The sequence below is a fragment of the Homo sapiens genome, chromosome 12, assembly GCF_000001405.40.
Source record: "Homo sapiens chromosome 12, GRCh38.p14 Primary Assembly".
Lineage (NCBI taxonomy): Eukaryota > Metazoa > Chordata > Mammalia > Primates > Hominidae > Homo > Homo sapiens.
Window position 1 is genome coordinate 120,761,375 of NC_000012.12, and position 18,051 is coordinate 120,779,425.

Genomic DNA, 18,051 nt, shown 5'->3' on the forward strand with positions numbered 1-18,051 from the left:
GATTAAAAAGTCTTACCTGGTTTATCCCTTCCAATAAGAGGAAGAAGCTTGAGTTGGATGACTCGATCTGCAGTGCTTCAGCTGACACGTGTTAGCAGCCATTGTCCTAGAAATGATTTCACTGTTGGAAACTGCTGAAGAAATGTGATTCGGTGAAGTGGGGGAGGCTGTCCTGGCCACTGTGCACTGAAGACCAGAAAGAGACCGAGATGGCTTCCTTCTGAGCCTGTACCGCTGACATAGCTCTGTAGAGAAGGGGGTTGTATAAATGATGTCCCTAAGGCATGTACTCCCATGTATAGACACGAGTGCTGCATTCCCAGGCTCTGACGTAAACGCTAGGCTTTACAAAACAGAAACGTACACACAACATGGGATCTGGTGAGCAGTAACGTGAGAGCTGCTAAGCAGACACAGCAGGTTCTATTTTTAACACTTGATTGGCAAAATGGAACTCCCTTCCCCTCCACCCTCACAGAGAACGAGTACTTTTGTTTTTCTTGTGGGTGACCTAACTTACCTGTTTACCCAAGGCCTGTGAGCCTGCTACAAAAGTAATTCAGACAGTAGCTTAGTCCCAAGCCACCGAACCGTTCCTATGCGGGGAGCTGTCACTGTCACATTCAGAAAGCGTATGCACTGTAATAACAGCAATGGAACACACTAGGCTTTGGACAGACTTTACTGTCATATCTTCATTAGCTCAAACTAGAAAAAAGAGTTATTAAAAAGCGGGAGTTCTAGTAACACACAGTCTCTTTGTGAGGAAAAAGGACTTCAGATCAGTGAGGAAGGAATCTGCTGAAATTTCATGAGCATGCCATGCCTAATGCAGCAGACTTCCTAGAAAACCCCTAAACCATGGTATTTGAGAAAACAGAATAAGAGGCGGACCTAAGTGTATCAGGCAGCGGGGAGCAAACGAGCACTGGAAGGGAAGTCTAATGTGTGCTTTAACTGCAGCCACCCACTCAACCCTCCGAGACGAGTAGAGTATTTGCTGTTTCTCTGCCAAAGTTTTAAGGGAGTGTTTTAAGGGCTTTGAAGATTAGCAACTGGAATCCAGGGTGCATTCACAGCCCTGTGTGGGTATTTCCCCCCAAAACCTGCACAGAAGTGAGAATGACAAAATAACGACGTTCCTTCTGTCTGGAATTTAATTTTCTTATGAAAACAAAGACAGAAAAATTAAAATGACCCACTGCCAGGATAACATTTCCTTTTTTTTTTTTTTTTTGAGATGGAGTCTCACCCTGTCGCCCAGACTTGAGTGCAGTGGCGCAATCTCTGCTCACTGCAACCTCCGCCTTCCAGGTTCAAGCGATTCTTCTGCCTCAGCCTCCCAAATAGCTGGGATTACAGGCGCCTGCCACCATGCCCAGCTAATTTTTGTGTTTTTAGTAGAGACGGGGTTTCACCATGTTGGCCAGGCTGGTCTCGAGCTCCCAACCTTGTGATCCACCTGCCTCGGCCTCCCAAAGTGCTGGGATTACAGGCATGAAGGATAACGTTATTTCTACCCATCACTGGCACTTGCCCTTAATCCGAGTCATTTTGGAGCCCCCCTCTCTGTCTCTGGGCCTGCTTAATTAGCTATATGCATCCTCGAGGGCTGAGAAGGAAGGAAGGGAGAGTCCGCAAGTGGATTTTTAGTCTTCACCCAATGCAGAGGCAGTTTTGAGTTCTGTGGACAGCAGAAGCTTCAGTTCTTTGATGTATCTATGACTGGGCCAGAGCTGCAGATGACCAGGTCTGGGGACAGACAGAGTCTTCCCATCAGTCTTCCAGAACAGGGAGGAGATGGCTGGGAGCTCTGTTTGGTACCAACAACCAAAGTGAAGATTATGTGACAAAGGCTACAAAGGAGTCATTTATTAAAAACAAAACCCCAGAAACCCCTCAGCAGGAATTGATGACAACAACAGAGGAATCCAACACCCTGACTGCTTCAGACTCTGTTGACAACAGGATGGGTGCCCCCTGTGAGCTCGATCCACAGTGACTTCAAGCCACAGTGACACAGCACACTAATTCATTACACAGGTCAAGACAGAGGCAGCCACTGGGGCGGGGACCCTTGGGGAGAGGCTGGAACTCAGGGCCCTTCTCCAGCCTTTGTTGTCAGGCATCCTCATGCCAACCGCAGGCTTCTCTTTGCCTCTGAACAATGGGCACCTTCTTACCAGGCAGGGGCTGCTTAGGTAAAGGTCAGCAGACCTAACACTAGTTACTCCCAGAAATCTGGGCTTGCAGCAGAGACCACAGCACAGGGCCAGGCTCTCAGGACACAGCAGCTGGTTCTTTCCCCAGTTACTGGAATTTAGGGCCCATCTCAGAGGGGCATTTGACATGTGTCCCCAACACCCGGTTGTCACCACAGGTAAACCAAGACTATAATCACAACAGCAAGGACAGGATTGTGTTGCTTTTTTCCTTTTTTTTTTTCTTAAAGGAGTGAGGGCATGGAAAATATACAGCACACCAATGAAACAAAATGTCAAAAAAAAAAATACAAAAAAATAGAAAATAGAAAAATGTATTTACAAGTAGTACGTTACTATGATGAGAAAGCACAAAGACACCTGCTGCTATAATACATGCATTGGCTCGAGAAGAAACTACGGAACACCCTGCGAGGGAGAAGCCTAGAAAAGAAAGAAAGGGCCAAAAGGTTTGAACTCTTCATCCCTAATTTGCTACACTGATCAAAACCAAGTAAGGGCTCCTGAAGTCCATGAGTCTATCATCAATCAGCACAAATGCTATACTAGTTTGTAACTGCGGGGTCAGTTGTGAAGGGGAAGGACAGCAGCTTATCCATATACAAGGAAGCCACAGTAAACTGCTCGACATGCTCAAAACGACAGCAAGCCCCTGTCAGCTACACAGCGTGATCTTAGCAGGATTTCATTTTTGTTTATTCATATATATCTATGTGTGTGTTTATATATATATATGTACGTATGTATAAAAACCGTGCCCTTGTTCACTGCCAACACAACATCTGGGTGGACATGAACTCATTACAACAAATTCTTATGTGGATGTTGTAAGAAGTCACTCAATGTCTGTGGATTTAATAAGTCACTTCACACCACAGAAAATATTTAATAAATCCAAAAAAAGGAAAGAAGAATATAACGACAGAAGAGCTTCTGTCTCAGTTCTCTGAAACTGAGTCCCCTATAGGAAACTGGTCCCAAAGTTCTCGAGGGGTCATTGAAGAAACTTCGGTTTGCTAATTTTTTTCATCCTTTTAGTGTTCAAAAGTTCTAGAAAGACTCCTCGCTGTTTTCAGTTTTTAAACAGTCAAATCTCCATCTCCCCCAGAAGGTAACAGTCTGGTGCAGATCCATAAAAACGTGGGAGGAAGGCGCGCTGGGGAGAGGCCTGTCCCTCTTGGAAGGGGCCCCACCTCTACATCCGCAGGAAGAGAAGGAACCAAACAGGGCTCCAGCACCTCTCTCCTGCAAACGAGCTCCCTTTAAATGCCAAATCCAGTCACACGGCAGTTCCTTAAACACAGGTACATTTCTGAGTACCAGGCCAGCTCTAAGAGGAAACAAACCATGAGTTGAGAGAAAAGGACTATGACGGCCATCTGGTCACTTTCCACGTGATCCATCATACTTCCAGGAATCGGGAGCTGCTGGACTTGGAGTGGAAAGGCTCAGACCACATCCGCCGGAGGTCGCCCTGGGAAACAAGGGACTTTCTAAGTTACAGATTTAAACATGAGGCACACACAGCTGTCTGATTCTTTAAAAAAAAAAAATTTTTTTTCCAGGTATGAAGTCTTCCTATATATTGGCCAGGCTGGTCTCAAACTCCTGGGCTCGGGCAATTCTCCTGCCTCGACCTTCCAAAGTGCTAGGATTACAGGCATGAGCTGCTGCGCTTGGCCCCTTTCTGATATTTTTTTTTTTTGAGATGGGTTCTCACTCTGTCACCTAGGCTGGAGTGAGTGCAGTGGCGAGATCTCAGCTCACTGCAACCTCCGACTCCTGGGTTCAAGCGATTCTCTTGCCTCAGCTTCCTGAGTAGCTGGGATTACAGGCACTCACCACCATGCCCAGTTCATTTTTGTGTTTTTAGTAGAGACAGGGTTTCACCATATTGGCCAGGCTGGTCCTGAACTCTTAACCCGCCTGCCTCAGCCTCCCAAGGTGCGGGGGTTACAGGCGTGAGCCACCATGCCCCTGGCCCCTTTCTGATGCTTGATCTGAGATCAGATTGCTTCTGTGGGAAACCAAAGAGCATTTAAATCTTACCCATTCAAAAATAACCCACTATTTTTAGGAGGACTCCCTAGAAGGGGTGCTTTTAGGCTCCCTGAGCAAGAAAAGGGCTTTTATCAACTCTCTAGAGGTAGTGAGTCAAGTGAGCTGGGCAAGTAAGTTGACCTCTGTATCTGCTTCCTCATCTGTAAAACGGGGCTGAGAATAGATATCTGGGAAATAATGTGCTCTTGAACTCTGGTTTTATCATATGCTGCCTCAACACTATTCAATCTTAATTATTCCCAAACTTTAACGTAGTGTTAAGCTGTTAGGTGGCAGGAGGGCACTGCTTTGAACAGAAGCAGGAAGTACCCTCAGCTGGGCTCTGGGGCTTTCAATTAGTTATTCCTCGACCAGGTGGTGTAGTGGTCTAGCTCATCAGCATTTTCTGTCAGTGGCTGCACGAATCTGGAAGCGTTTGCTAACGCCAGGGTAGCGCGCGCGCGCACACACACACACACACACACACACACACACACACACACACAGTCGAGATCACAAGCTCACTCAGGGGCTTAAGCAGAATCACCTCCAGCGAGGAGAGTGCAAACCGAGGCACAGGCCAATCCAAGTTATTGCTTTCACAGGTTTATAACTGCTGCTCTCACCTTTAAATAGGCCATCGTGAGGAGTGGCAATAAAGTAAATGGCACCAAATAGAGAAGGGCGGGCTGGGCGGCCCGGTGAATGCGAGACGCCACAGTAGCAGTGAGCAGGCCTGTGAGGAGAGAGAGGCATCTGTGAGACACGAGAGGGAACCCGTGTCACCTGGCTGCTGCTGGGCAAAGTCCTGCAACTGTACAGATCTAATGTGCTGTCGTCCATTCTATGGTTGGGGTGTGAAATGCCCAGCTTGGGCAGTTGAAGAAATGTGGATCAGCACAGCTTTAAAAAACACCTACAACTCCAAGGACACATGACTGACCCAAGTCTCACTCCTTGCTCAGGTTCCTGGGTTCAAACCCTCCTTCCAGCTCCAAGTGTGCCTCTGTCTCCTGTGATGCTGGACTTGGGAGGCAGAAGACCTGGGTTCAAGTTCCAACTCTGCTACTCACAATAGCTAACATAAATGTAGTTCAGACCTTCCACCTCTCTGAGCCTCAGCTTGCTCATCTGTCTAATGGGGATAATGCCACTTGCCTTGCCCCTCTGAGTTTGTGGACTGAAATGAACCCATGTGAATGAACTGCTGTGGGACGAGGACAGTGCTGGGGTTGAGGAGGACGTACGGAGTGCAAAAGCTCCTTTCCAGTCACTGTGCGGGAGCAGTTGCATGTGCGGGCAGGTTACTGCTTTTCCCAGCCCCATCACAATCATCTCCTGTCTGCCTACACATGAGCTGGCTACAAAACTTGGCCTAGGTCAGAGTGGCAGAAATGTAGAACTAATGAATGTAAGTAAGTATCTATTGAATAAAGTAGGAAATAAATACGACAGTCATTCAACTCTAGAGGAAGATTTAAGCACAGACTAATCCACTGCACTGTGTGCTGTGTGTCCTTGGCTTTGAGGACTGACCTGCTTTTCCTACAACGTTCTTCAGATACACAGCTGGAGAGGGAACTGGCCTATCCAGTACACAAAACACTTAGCATCTCACGGGCCAGGCTGTCTATTACAGCACCCAGAATTCCTGCTCTCCTTCCATCCAGTAACTGTAGCTAGAAGACCTGATTTAATTCCAAAGGTTGGAGGACAGCCAGAGCGAGGATCATCTGCAGTCTCTCTGGTTCTCTTACCTACAAAGTATCCGATGAGGGTGCAGTGAAAGTAGGAGACCTTCTGCATGCGCCCGGAGATGTTGGCAGGTCCAGGGGCCCCACAGGAGTCCCCACTGGCTTGCTTTTTGTAGTTGTCATAGCGAAGGACAAAGCATAGTAGGAGACCAGGCATAACGATGTCTCCGATGCCCAACATGGAGAAGTGGCTGCCAGTGGAGCTGGAATGCAGTTTCACAGGTTAGTGACGTCACACTCTACAATCCAGTTTCTATTCCTTTTGTGCAAAGTTTGTTAGCTTTTTAAGGAGTCAAAGAGCTTATCTGCATGGCAGATGGAAATCTCTTCTGATGGAACATTAGTTTTAAGAGTGTAGAGAGAAAAAGCTGCAACAGTACTGGCACTAGAGGTCTCCACCTTGGCCCCCCTGTTTCAGGAGAGCCCCTTGGAAGTGACTGCTGAAGTGATTTGCATAAGTGCTGCTTCCTCTAGAAATGTCAAACAATTCATCATTTGTGACACATTCACTGTTGAGACTTCAAATAAGCACCTGGCTACTATTACAGGTGGAAGATTAAAGCAGCACATTCATTCTGCCAAGATTATATTACCAGGAGTTGTATAATTCTACCATTAGAACTTATTTTTATAAATATCTTACAAGTTAAAAGGATCGAGATTCTCCTAACTCCCTCCAGCCAACTCTAAACAGTGGAAACAGCAGTAAGGCATGGCTGTTTGCTGACATTAATCAATAATAAAAGGCACCGCCTGGATCACTCAGTGATCCTTCTTGGCAAGCCAAGAATCTCATCCTCATTTCCTCTTCTGCAGCATGGAGATAATGGCCCCAGGTTGGGATCAGAATGCTGATGACATTAGAGACTGATCAAGGCCGGGAACAGATAGGCACAGGAAGACAGTGTGGTCCTGTCATAGCATGAGGTCTTACCTTGGGAAGACCAGTTTTCCAGGCAGAGACAGGCGAGGAACATCACGCCCAACATTGGGCCCCAGGTGGAGCTTCCGGGATAGAACGTCAAGGGGATTGTCAGCCGGCTGAGTGGCCACCTTCACCATGACGTTGCTATTGAAGATGTAGGCTGAGAAAAATACCTGCCGAGTTGGAGAGATGCCTTTAACAGAGGGAGTTGGAAGCAACCTGCTTTCAGCATCAGCCCTCCTTGCTCTTAAGAGCAGAGTCTCAGAATGCTGTGACTGCAATGCTTTCGTTGACTGTATGATTTGAGAAAATCTTTGCTCTTCCTGTGTACTTGCCAATTTCTGCACTCTCCACACCCAGAGATTACTCCCTGACGGGGTGGCCCCCACTGCAGCGAATCTTGTCAGCCTGTTACCTCTTCTATCCTAGGAGTCACACACACACACTACCTACTGTACGACTTTTCAGCAAACAAAAGGATCGGACTGCACACCCATGATACAGTTAAGGACTGGAGAGAGAGTGATCAGCAGCTGGGCAAGCCCGACTTTGGATACTTCTAGTTAATAGTTTTCAGGCATGAATGCTTCACTTCAACACAAAGAAGGGGAGGAGCTCCAAGGACATAAACGCTTACCCAAAAGACATCATAGATGAGAAGCCCTGAGAGAAGCAGGCAGGAGACCTTGAGGCTCGGCAGGCGGACAAAGGCGATCATGGCGACACAGAGGCCCATGGCCAGTGCTGGGGAGGAGACAGGGTACAGCAGACAGCAGTCAGTGTGGACTCCAGGCTCATCCTCTTTCCACAAGCTATGGCCCTTCACAGAGTTTGCAATTCCCTCAAAAATCAGGCAGCCCTAAGCTCCAGCTTCAGAAACTTACATGCAACTGGTGCAAAACACCCGCTTCTTCAGCCTGTTTGGACTTGTGGAATTTGGGGTGATTGCTTTCCTCCTCCTAGACATAGTGCTCGGCTGTTGGAGACCCAGGAAACCAGTCCAAGACCTCCAAGCTCTCTTTTCCTGCCTTCCCTCCAATGTTGTGGATGTGTTGTCCTTGCTCCCTGCTTTAAAGTGAACTCACACCCTAGATAGCACCCCCTTTCATTCACTGGAGGCATCATCCCAGCAATTCATTAACTGCGTTATAGAAAACTAGAGAATACAGTAAAGCAAAATAAAAAAATTACATTCCCACTTTTCAGAGATTACCACTGTTCAATATCTTCCTAGAATTTTGTTTTTCTTTTTGGAGATGGAGTCTCGCTGTATCACCCAGGCTGGAGTGCAGTGGCACAATCTCGACTCACTGCAACCTCTGTCTCCTGAGTTCAAATGATTCTCCTGCCTCAACCTCCCGAGTAGCTGGGATTACAGGCACCCACCACTACGCCCAGCTAATTTTTGTGTTTTTAGTAGAGATGGGGTTTCACCATGTTGGCCAGGCTGGTCTCGAATTCTTGACCTCAGGTGATCCACCTGCCTTGGCCTCCCAAAGTGTTGGGATTACAGGCATGAGCCACTGCACCCAGCCAATAATTTTTTACATACTTTTTTTTTTTAATCTAATGAGATCACACAATCTGTTCCCCCCCTCCACCAAAGCCAACAACCCCCAGTTTCCATTTGGGTGAATTTTCACCTCATTTAATCAAATTTCTCTATAGACCCCAAAACATCTTTTGCAGATGGTTTGTCTGTGCTGGTTTCCAATCTGACATAGTCCACCCCACCACTTTTATTTTTTTTGAGACAGGGTCTTGCCCTGTTGCCCAGGCTGGAGTGCAGTCATGCGATCTTGGCTCACTTCAGCCTCTGCCTCCTGGGCTCAAGCAATACTCAGCCTCCTGAGTAGCTGGGACCACCGGCATGTGCCACCACACCTGGATAATTTTTGTATTTTTTGTAGAGATGAGGTCTTGCTATGTGGCCCAGGCTGATCTCAAGCAATCCTCTCACCCTGTTCTCCCAAAGTGCTGGGATTACAGGTGTGAGCCACCATGCCCAGCCTAAAGTCCTTTTTTTAATGACTTGCTGAAACTGGAGTCATCTGGATTTTTCTGTGCTTCTCTATTGCAGTGGTTGGCTTTTCCTCTATCCCATATATTTCCCATAAATTAGATGTTATCATTTGAGTGCTCGATCACTTCCAGCAGGGCTTTCATCCCTGCTACTCCACTGACACTGCTCCTGGGGGCTTGCCAAGGATCCCCTCATTGCTAGACACAGTAATCGACCTGTCCTCCTCTTACCCGACCTTTAGGCAGCAACCCGCCCAGCTAATGGCTCCCTCCTTTTCCCTTGATTCTCAGGACAATGTGCTCTCCTGTTCCTCCCCACTCACTGGCCTTTTCAGGCTTCTCTGTAGCTCCTCCTCAATTCCCAGAACTCCACGGGCCTTTCCTCAGATCTTTTCCTCTCTCAGTGATCTCGTCCAATCTCAAGGCTCTTGACACTATCTATCTTATATGTCATCAACTCACACATTTTAATTTCCAGCCTGAATCTCTTCTTGGAGCTCCAGACTCATACATCCTGTGGCCTAAGAGACATATATACTTGGCTGTCTAGTTGGCCTCTCAAATCTAACATGTCCAAACTCAGCTCTTAACAGTGCAGTCTTCTGTCTCCAAGCATTTACTCTTTGCTTCCAATTGTGCAGACGGAAATCTGTGATGTCGTTTTTGACCCGTCTCTCTTTTACACCCTGCCTGGCTTAAGCCGCCATCCTCTCCTGGCGTGCATTGCTGCAATGACCTCCTCCCTGGCCTCTCTGCCTCCAACTTAACCCCTAACAAGTCTCTTCTTCACAGTGCAGACAGAAGCAGCTTCTTAAACCCTAAGGCAGGTTTTATGGGGCCCCTAGCTCAAAACTCTTAAACAACTTCCCATAGAGTAAAAGCCACAGTCTTCATACTGGCTGACAAGGTCCTGCTGTGACGGTGACCCTTCAGGTCACCTCCTGCTACTTCCTTTGCCAGCCACAGCAGCCTCCTCACTCTACCCCCCATGCCGCCGCTTCGGCCACGCCGCCGCTTCAGTGCTCTGCATTTACTGTGCCCTCTGCCTGAACGATCTCCTCCCAGAACCCAACTGGCTCCGCTCCTCGTCTTTCACAGTTCTTCACGCAAGTACTAGCTTCTCAATGACAGGTGGACTTTCCTGCAATTACATTTAAGATCATACTTCCTGCCCTTGTCTTATTTTTCATTTCTCAACTTCTGATATACATAATTTCTTCTTTTTTTTAAACATTCTCACTGCCCTCAACTCCAGTGAAGGTTCCCCGAGAGCATGGCTCAGTGCTCACCCTTGTAGTCTAGGCCAGGGCCTGGCAGGTGCAGGGCCTCTCCCCTCCTTCAGCTCTCTTCCTCCACTGTTCTGCAAACACAGGTTTGATGAGGACACAGAGCTGTTGAGAAACTCTTCATGGGGTCTTGTGGTGGGATGAATGTCCAACTCCCTGGCCAGGGAGGGCACTCTCCACTGTACAGCCCAAGCCCTCAACACGCATTCCTGTGGCTCTGTTTTCTAGACAGTTCAACACAATTTCCCGCTCTCCACACATACTGTGTTCTTTTCACGCTCTACCCAGAAGGTCCTGCCCCCGGCTCCTTCATATGGAAAATCCATCCTCATTCTGGAAGAGCCAGGTCAGGAGTCCTTTCTCAGAGTCTTTCCTGATCCAACCAGTCAGTTGCTGCTGCTCTTTTTTTGTTTTTTTGAGACAGAGTTTTGCTCGTTGCCCAGGCTGCAGTACAATGGTGCAATCTCAGCTTACTGCAGCTTCCACCTCCTGGGTTCAAGTGATTCTCCTGTCTCAGCCTCCCGAGTAGCCGGGATTACAGGCATCCATCACCACACCCAGCTAATTTTTGCATTTTTAGTAGAGACAGGGTTTCACCATGTTGGTCAGGCTGGTCTCAAACTCCTGACCTCAGGTGATCCACCCACCCCGGCCTCCCAAAGTGCTGGGATTACAGGCATGAGCCACCGCGCCCGGCCCAGTTGCTTCTTCTATGTGATGTGCCATAGAACGTTGAATGTCTCTCAACTCACTCATCCATTCTATGACCTTGTGAATATTTACATACTGGTAAGTTTATTCCCTGTGCTAGCTGACCACGTGCTCCTGGGAAACAGAAACCATGTCTGATTCTTTCTGTGGATCCCTAGCACTTGACAGAGTAGACATTCAATAAATACTTGCTGAATGAATGCAAAACTGTGTTCTATTAACTTCAAATTTCAAATTATTCTAAGGAAAGTAAAAAGCCATATGAACAGATATATTTCATTTTCATAGAACTGGTGGTAAATTGTCAATATATGTAATAAAGTGGATAAATACAGCAGCTTGGCAGACCCTGGACACATCAACTAAATTACTGTTTCATGGGTTCCTACTGTGTGCACGGTGCTAATATAAACACAGAGGAGAAAAAGCTGCCTCATCCCTACAACTCAGAGGAGTTGGAAAGACAGTATTCAACCTAGGAAGAGCAAAATATATATCTTCATCTCCACTATCATCACTGTTATCAAGCGCTCACTGAGTTACAGGGTGAGCTGCAGTGTGAGTTCTGGAGAGATGTGGTCAAGATCTAATTCCTGACTTTATAATCATATAGAATGTTTATTATACTAAGGTCTCCTTTAATTTTTAAATAAATTCATACAACCAACCTGGTAAAATGTATACAAATGCATGTCATTTGAAATGAACCTAATGAAATGTATTAGTCAGTGAGGCTTGACAAAGCTCAGAGCATTCAGAGCTGCAAAGGGATGACTGAAACATGATGTTTAGGACACTGAGAGATGTACCCAGAGCCCCTGCTCTGATCAACTCACACGCATATTTGAAAGGACAGGACCTCCCATGATCATCATCTTTAGGAAACAAAGATTTGGTTGTGTCATGAGTCAATAACCAGGACATTACCAGGGAGCAGCTCATCTGGCTGGAGGAACAACAGTGGTCAGCAGCAGGTGGGAAGCCCATCGGGCCAGAGCACAGGTGAGACACAGGTTTGTGTATAGATACTGGCTAGGGTGATCTGTTCATGGACTTACAGGTGAATACATGGAATGCAAGGCATCAAGGGCACGAAGAAAGTAACAGAAGGCCTAGGATGGACAGACGGGAGACAGGAGTCTGCGGGGAGTGAGGGTCAGAGGACTGAATGATGCAGCTCACCAGTAACCAAAAGCGGGGCAGGGAAACAGACTGAACAGAGAAGCAAGAGGCCAGGCTCCTCGGGGTAAGTTTATTCGCCTCTGTGACACATGTAGACGACCTGTCCCTTCCTGACCTTTTCTTTTTGGAGATGGAGTCTTGCTCTGTCGCCCACGCTGAGTGCAGTGGCACAAGCTTGGCTCACGGCAACCTGTGCCTCCCAGGTTCAAGTGACTCTCAAGTGACTACCAGCGCCCGCCACCATGCCCAACTAATTTTTGCATTTTTAATAGAGATGGGGTTTCACCATATTGGTCAGGCTGGTCTTGAACTACTAACTTCAGGTGATCCACCTGCCTCAGCCTCCCGAAGTGCTGGGATTACAGGCATGGGCCGCCGCGTCTGGCCCTTCCTGAACTTTTGTACTCAATTTGCCATAGAATCACTTCATCCTAACTGCGCAGGAGCCTTGAAAGGTCACAAGGTCTGAGCATCCACCTGCTGCTTTGTCATTCATCTCATGCTAATCCTCCTCCACCTGCGTCTAAACTAAACATGGAACAGACTGCTCAGTGACTGGGTTTTCCATGACTCCAGACAGTGTCATTCTATCCTAACCTTCCAAATAAGAAAGTCTGGGTTCATCTTCAACACATCACAGCCTCTCATCATACACATGAAATCTGCAGCCATTCTGAGGTGTTATCCTTTACTGTTACTGCAGACCTTGCTCACACCTCCACCCACTTCCTACTTTGCTGTGTCTCCTTTCCCTCCCTCCCTCTTACTCTTTCCCATGTACTGTTCACTGCCACTGTCAAACATCTGTTCACATAATTTCCTGCCTGAAGGTCACCAGGTTCCCTTCTCTATGACGAATCAAGTCTAATTATAAAGTTGCATAAACTCAGGAGGCACAACCTCCACAGAGTGGAGCTGAGCACCATGCTGGCTCTGCCTTGGCATCTGTCTGAACGGGTTCCTATTCCTCAGCCTATCCCTTCTCTCCATCTGCGTTAAGCTGAACACCCTCTTTCCAATTAGACCATCTAGGTCCTCCCCACTCTAGTCTAAGTTCCGTGTATGAAGAGGCAGAAGGCATCCTTTTGACTGTCTCAGAGAAGGCTCTTAGAGGCATGTGGAATAAATACCACTCTGACCCAGCGAACACTGCCACAAGCAATGTCGTATTCCCAGAACATGCTCTCAATCTAGTTTGCCTGCCTTTCATTCTGTCATTCAAGTAACCCTTAAAAAATCTTACCTCCTCCTCAGGGCTTTTCAAGGCTAAAGTGAAGGGAGGTGCTCTCTTTCCCTTGCGGCTTTAGACACTCCTGAGACTCTCTCTTATAGGTTTACCAACACACTTAACTTTTGGTTAAATGTACATTAACCAAAAGTGTTGGGGGAAGTAAATGATTAATCTTAGCCATTTAGCTAGAGTTATTTTCAATTTATCACTGATATCTCTGTATTACATTGTCTTCTACAACCAGTGAGTCAGGGACAAAGACAGTGACACCAAACCGAGCTCAAATGTTCTCTACGAGGATGACATAACCTGTAAGGTTTCTAAGCAGTGCTCACATTCGCGATACAGGCTCTCTAGATATCTATGCCCTATGTGGAGTCAGCGCACCAAGAGTGTAGCATTTTATTTATTTATTTATTTAGAGGCAGAGTCTCACTCTGTTGCCCAGGTTGGAGTGCAGTGGTGCAATCTCAGCTCACTGCAACCCCTGCCTTCCAGGTTCAAGTGATTCTCCTGCCTCAGCCTCCCAAGTAGCTGGGACTACAGGTGCATGCCAGCACACCTTGGTTAATTTTTTTATTTTTAGTAGAGATGGGGTTTCACCATGTTGGCCAGGCTGGTCTCCAACTCCTGACCTCAACTGATCTGCCCACCTTCGCCTCCCAAAGAGTTGGGATTACAGGTGTGAGCCACCGTGCCCGGTTGAGTGTAGCATTTTAAAACAAAATATCAATTGTTAGATTTCTGGCCCTAAACATGTTCTAATCATAGGTTAGTAGCAATTGCTATAAAACGAGGGGACTGAATCAGACATCTGTCAAGATTCTGTTAGTCCCTGAACTAGGCAGGGGATAGACTGTAAACCAGGTTCTATGATCCTTGATCACTAGGGGTGTGTACTCAATATTCATCAGCTTTTAGCTAACATACCATCACCCATAGGTCCAACTCTTTCAAGTCTTCCCAAATTTGAAAGGTTAATTTGCCAGATGAAACTGAGAGTAGATAAAACAGCCCTAGACTTCAGTTCGGGAAAATCCCGAAGTCCATTCTTAATGTTAATACTTCTTAGTGTAGCCCTGAAAATAATTTATTATCCTGTTTTCACTCTAAATTAACTTCAAAGAACAGACTTCAGTTAAGAAACACTAATTAAAAAAAAAACCCAGCCACCAAATATCACTGCTTACAAGATGATTTCAGATTCTGCAGAGAAGTCTGAAAGATAATATTCACAGCAGAGAGCAAGACACTACAGTGTATTACACAACATGGCTAGAAAGCCAGACTACTGTGACAGCAGAAAACAAGTCAAACACTAGTCTGAGAAACAAACGAAAAGCTCAAAGGCTCTCTTTGAGGAAAAATTCCATCCTTGGTCACAAGGGCGTTTCAACCAGTGCAAACTGGCAGGAAGAAGAGATCTGTGGATAAGTAATACTGGGAAACTGCAATAATGACAGAAAAATGTGGTAAAATTCTAATTAGGGTTTCGGGGAGCCTCACTGAACATTCAGCAAAACTTTTCAACTATGAAGTGAATTTTCCAATGGAAATGTACTTCTGATAGCGGCCACTGGGGAAAAAAGTTTGTTCTTTATGGCCAATTTTCTGTCAACTGTACAGTCTAGAGGAAGGGACTCGCATTGTAAAACAGACCCTTTAGTATGTCTTACAGAGAGGTGCTCACCCCATTCCTCCTTTAGTGAGTCTGATAAACCCATTCCAGACCTGTCTGCAGAAGTACAACGAATAAAATTCTCCCGACTTGCTCTAAAGTGTATGTTTCCAATGGCTGTGAAAAGAATGTCACCTTCCACCATGCTGAACTTTTTTTTTTTGGTAACATACTATTAGTAAACAGGCATTTTTTCTGTTCTCTGCAATGCTAAGATAGGACAGAGCTAAGGGTAGAAAGACCACACTGCTTATTGTTTTGAGAAACAGCTCATCTTTTTTGGGTCAGCGGCTTACTAAGCACTTTTAAACCCTCAGCAAAACATGTAAATAGTATCATGTGTGTCTGGACATGTGAATAAAGAGGTTCAAGAAAGGAGAGCCATCAAAAAGTTAGCAGTGGGATTACTGAGAAACTCAGACCACATGGGGGACTGAGACTTCAAGGTAGTTAAAATATCATTTGTCATAATATGGGCTTTGCATCTGCTAGCAGTGAAACTAATCATCCTGCTTAGGTGATTACTGCTTTACATTACTTTAAACCAGTAGCACCTGGTGCTTTCATTGTCTCATTCCACATTTGTTTAGGTGGATTTAAGTGTATCATTATGGGGGTGGCCTCTCAATCTGTCATTTAAAGACACCATCATAAAACAGTCTCTCTTAGGAATATGTGGTTCACAGTCATCCAAACAGCCAACTTACATGCACTGAAAAAATCTGGTTTAGATTCTAACCAACTAACTGGAATTTCTAAATAGTTTCTGTTCAGAAGTAACAGCAGGAGAAACATCTGCCTGTTTCCTCATCAGGAAGCCACTGGACTAGGTAAGATTTAAGGGATATACTCATAAAAGAAGCTATGAGATTGATTTGGACTAAAATTTATTCTCTGTGCCCCAATAATTATCATGATCAAGATTCCTTAATATTGTATAACACATATTTTTAAAAGATTAGGTTTTACTAAAGTTTTTCAGAATTCCCTATATGCTCTGTTTATACATGCATCACTTCTTCCCTACTTTAAGTTAACAAATTATTGTTTGCAGAATTCAACAAATGCTACTCTCCGGAAAAGTCTAATGCACATAGCTGTCACTTTATCACTCTTAATAATAACTAGTCCTTATAGAATCAGCACTTACCCACCCTTTTACCATACCACCCTTTTACCATAAGCTGGGCAAGCAACTTGCTGTATTACTTTGAATGCAATGTCATCAACTTCCGGAAGCACTGAAGTATCGTAACACAAATCACAAGCTACTGAAAGCACTAATTAATACTTGATTTGGGAAATCAGGTCTGGTAGCCATTGCACTTCAGACTGCTTATATGCATAGTGGGTTCTCTAGTACTGAAGCAAACAATCACAGCACATGTTTTTATAAGGGAATACAAGATGCTAAACAAATGACCAAACCTGTCAGAATCAGCAAAGGTGAATTACTACACAGACGGGCACGGGTGATTTTGACTTTGCCTTTCCTGTCTGCGTCATCAAAGGTCTGTATAGTCTAGAGGGTAACTTGGTCTGCAAACTCAAGGAACTGTTTTAATAGCTTGGTATATGGTAGACACTCAAAAAAAGCATTGAATAACTACTATGAAAACAGATTTACATATTTGTAAAAAATAAAAACATATTTAACATTTTATTTCCAAAATGACTGAAAAGCAATTTTTTTTTTTTTTTTTTTTTTTGAGATGGAGTCTTACTCTGTTGCCCAGGCTGGAGTGCAGTGGTGTGATCTCGGCTCACTGCAACCTCCACCTCCTGGGTTGAAGCGATTCTCCTGTCTCACCATTCTGAGTAGCTGGGATTACAGGCGCACACCACCACACCTGGCTAATTTTTGAACTTTTAGTAGAGACGGGGTTTCACCATGTTGGCCAGGCTGGTCTCGAACTCCTGACCTCAGGTGATGCGCCTGCCTCAGCCTCCCAAAGTGCTGGGATTACAAGCATGAGCCACCGCGCCCGGCCTGAACAGTAAAATTGACAGTTTCTCTTTAGATGTAGCAGTTCTATGAAAGTTCCCACATGCATTTACAGAGTCACCACCATGCTCAGCATAGAGAATGGTCACATCACCCCCAAAACCCCTGTTTTTTCTTTATAGTCACCCTACTCCTCCACACAAACCCTGCCAACCACTGAGCTGTTCTCCATCACTATAATCTTGTCTTTTTAACAAATGTATTTTAAAATTGTAAGTATAACTTATATTTGTATGCTTTACAATTTGCAATCCACTTGCTAGTTTATTTCCACAGAATACTCAGTTTCTTATGACATTTTACTAACTAACTTGACACACAGACATTCAAATCATTGTACTGGTCAAAGTCACTTACGAAGAAAAAAAATTCCTAGATGCAGAAGGACAAGTTTTTTGTTTTCCTTAAAGTTTAAAATTTCTTTCTTATTAAGATGATTCTGATTCTGGATCCAGAAAAAAAATACAATCATTTTTGTCAAATTCTATCCAAATTGACCAGAACATCCTTGGTTTTGAGTTAATTCATATATTTGATGCAAATGTCTTCTAAAAAAAAATCCAAACAATTACTTAAGCCCAGGAGCTTGAGGTCACAGTGAGTTAGGATCATGTTACCATATTGCAGCCTGGACAACAGAGCAAGAACCTTTCTCTAAAACAAATTAAAAATAAAAACCCCAAACAATGGACCAAATACTATGCAGCAAACTTAAGATCAGTCATACAAAGTATATATAGCCTATAAGATCAGTACTTAGAAACTGTTTGACTAACTTAGCTACTCCAAACTTGAGGCAGTGACAGTAAGCATCACTCTGGGTGGCTCTGGGCTCAGACAATGATGAACATCAACCCCAACACCTCTGAGCCAGCCCCAGAGCTGCAGGGAAACACTGCCTGGTGGAGTGCAGAGGAGCCTCCCAGACCTGGCACTGGTTCCAAAGAACTCTGTCTCCAAAGTCTGGAGTAGCTTTGTGGTTATTTGGAGTAGGT

General features: G+C 45.4%; 1 protein-coding gene across 2 annotated transcripts in view, besides 2 other annotated features; it reads right to left on the reverse strand.

Annotated features, from left to right (window-relative positions):
• Nucleotides 1-1,135: 1,135 nt before the first annotated feature.
• Nucleotides 1,136-18,051, reverse strand: part of SPPL3 (signal peptide peptidase like 3) — a 141,849-nt gene continuing 124,933 nt past the window's right edge. For both annotated transcript variants that reach the window (NM_139015.5, XM_011537925.3), the window contains exons 7-11: nucleotides 7,579-7,685; nucleotides 6,951-7,114; nucleotides 6,020-6,219; nucleotides 4,889-4,998; nucleotides 1,136-3,696 (exon numbers count right to left, since the gene is read on the reverse strand). In NM_139015.5, the coding sequence (NP_620584.2) occupies nucleotides 3,625-3,696; nucleotides 4,889-4,998; nucleotides 6,020-6,219; nucleotides 6,951-7,114; nucleotides 7,579-7,685 (653 nt within the window). In that variant the 3' untranslated portion in view covers nucleotides 1,136-3,624. The remainder of the gene's footprint in view (nucleotides 3,697-4,888; nucleotides 4,999-6,019; nucleotides 6,220-6,950; nucleotides 7,115-7,578; nucleotides 7,686-18,051) is intronic.
• Nucleotides 1,724-1,887: a silencer, noted in NCBI's record as "fragment chr12:121200901-121201064 (GRCh37/hg19 assembly coordinates)". NCBI's record gives its function as "represses an EF-1alpha promoter that drives an FKBP-Casp9 reporter gene in an ReSE screen in K562 erythroleukemia cells {active_cell/tissue: K562}" and the evidence as "EXISTENCE:reporter gene assay evidence [ECO:0000049][PMID:32094911]".
• Nucleotides 9,928-10,428: an enhancer, noted in NCBI's record as "H3K4me1 hESC enhancer chr12:121209105-121209605 (GRCh37/hg19 assembly coordinates)". NCBI's record gives its function as "activates a minimal SCP1, AML or CMV promoter by ChIP-STARR-seq in naive H9 embryonic stem cells {active_cell/tissue: H9 hESC(naive)}" and the evidence as "EXISTENCE:reporter gene assay evidence [ECO:0000049][PMID:30033119]".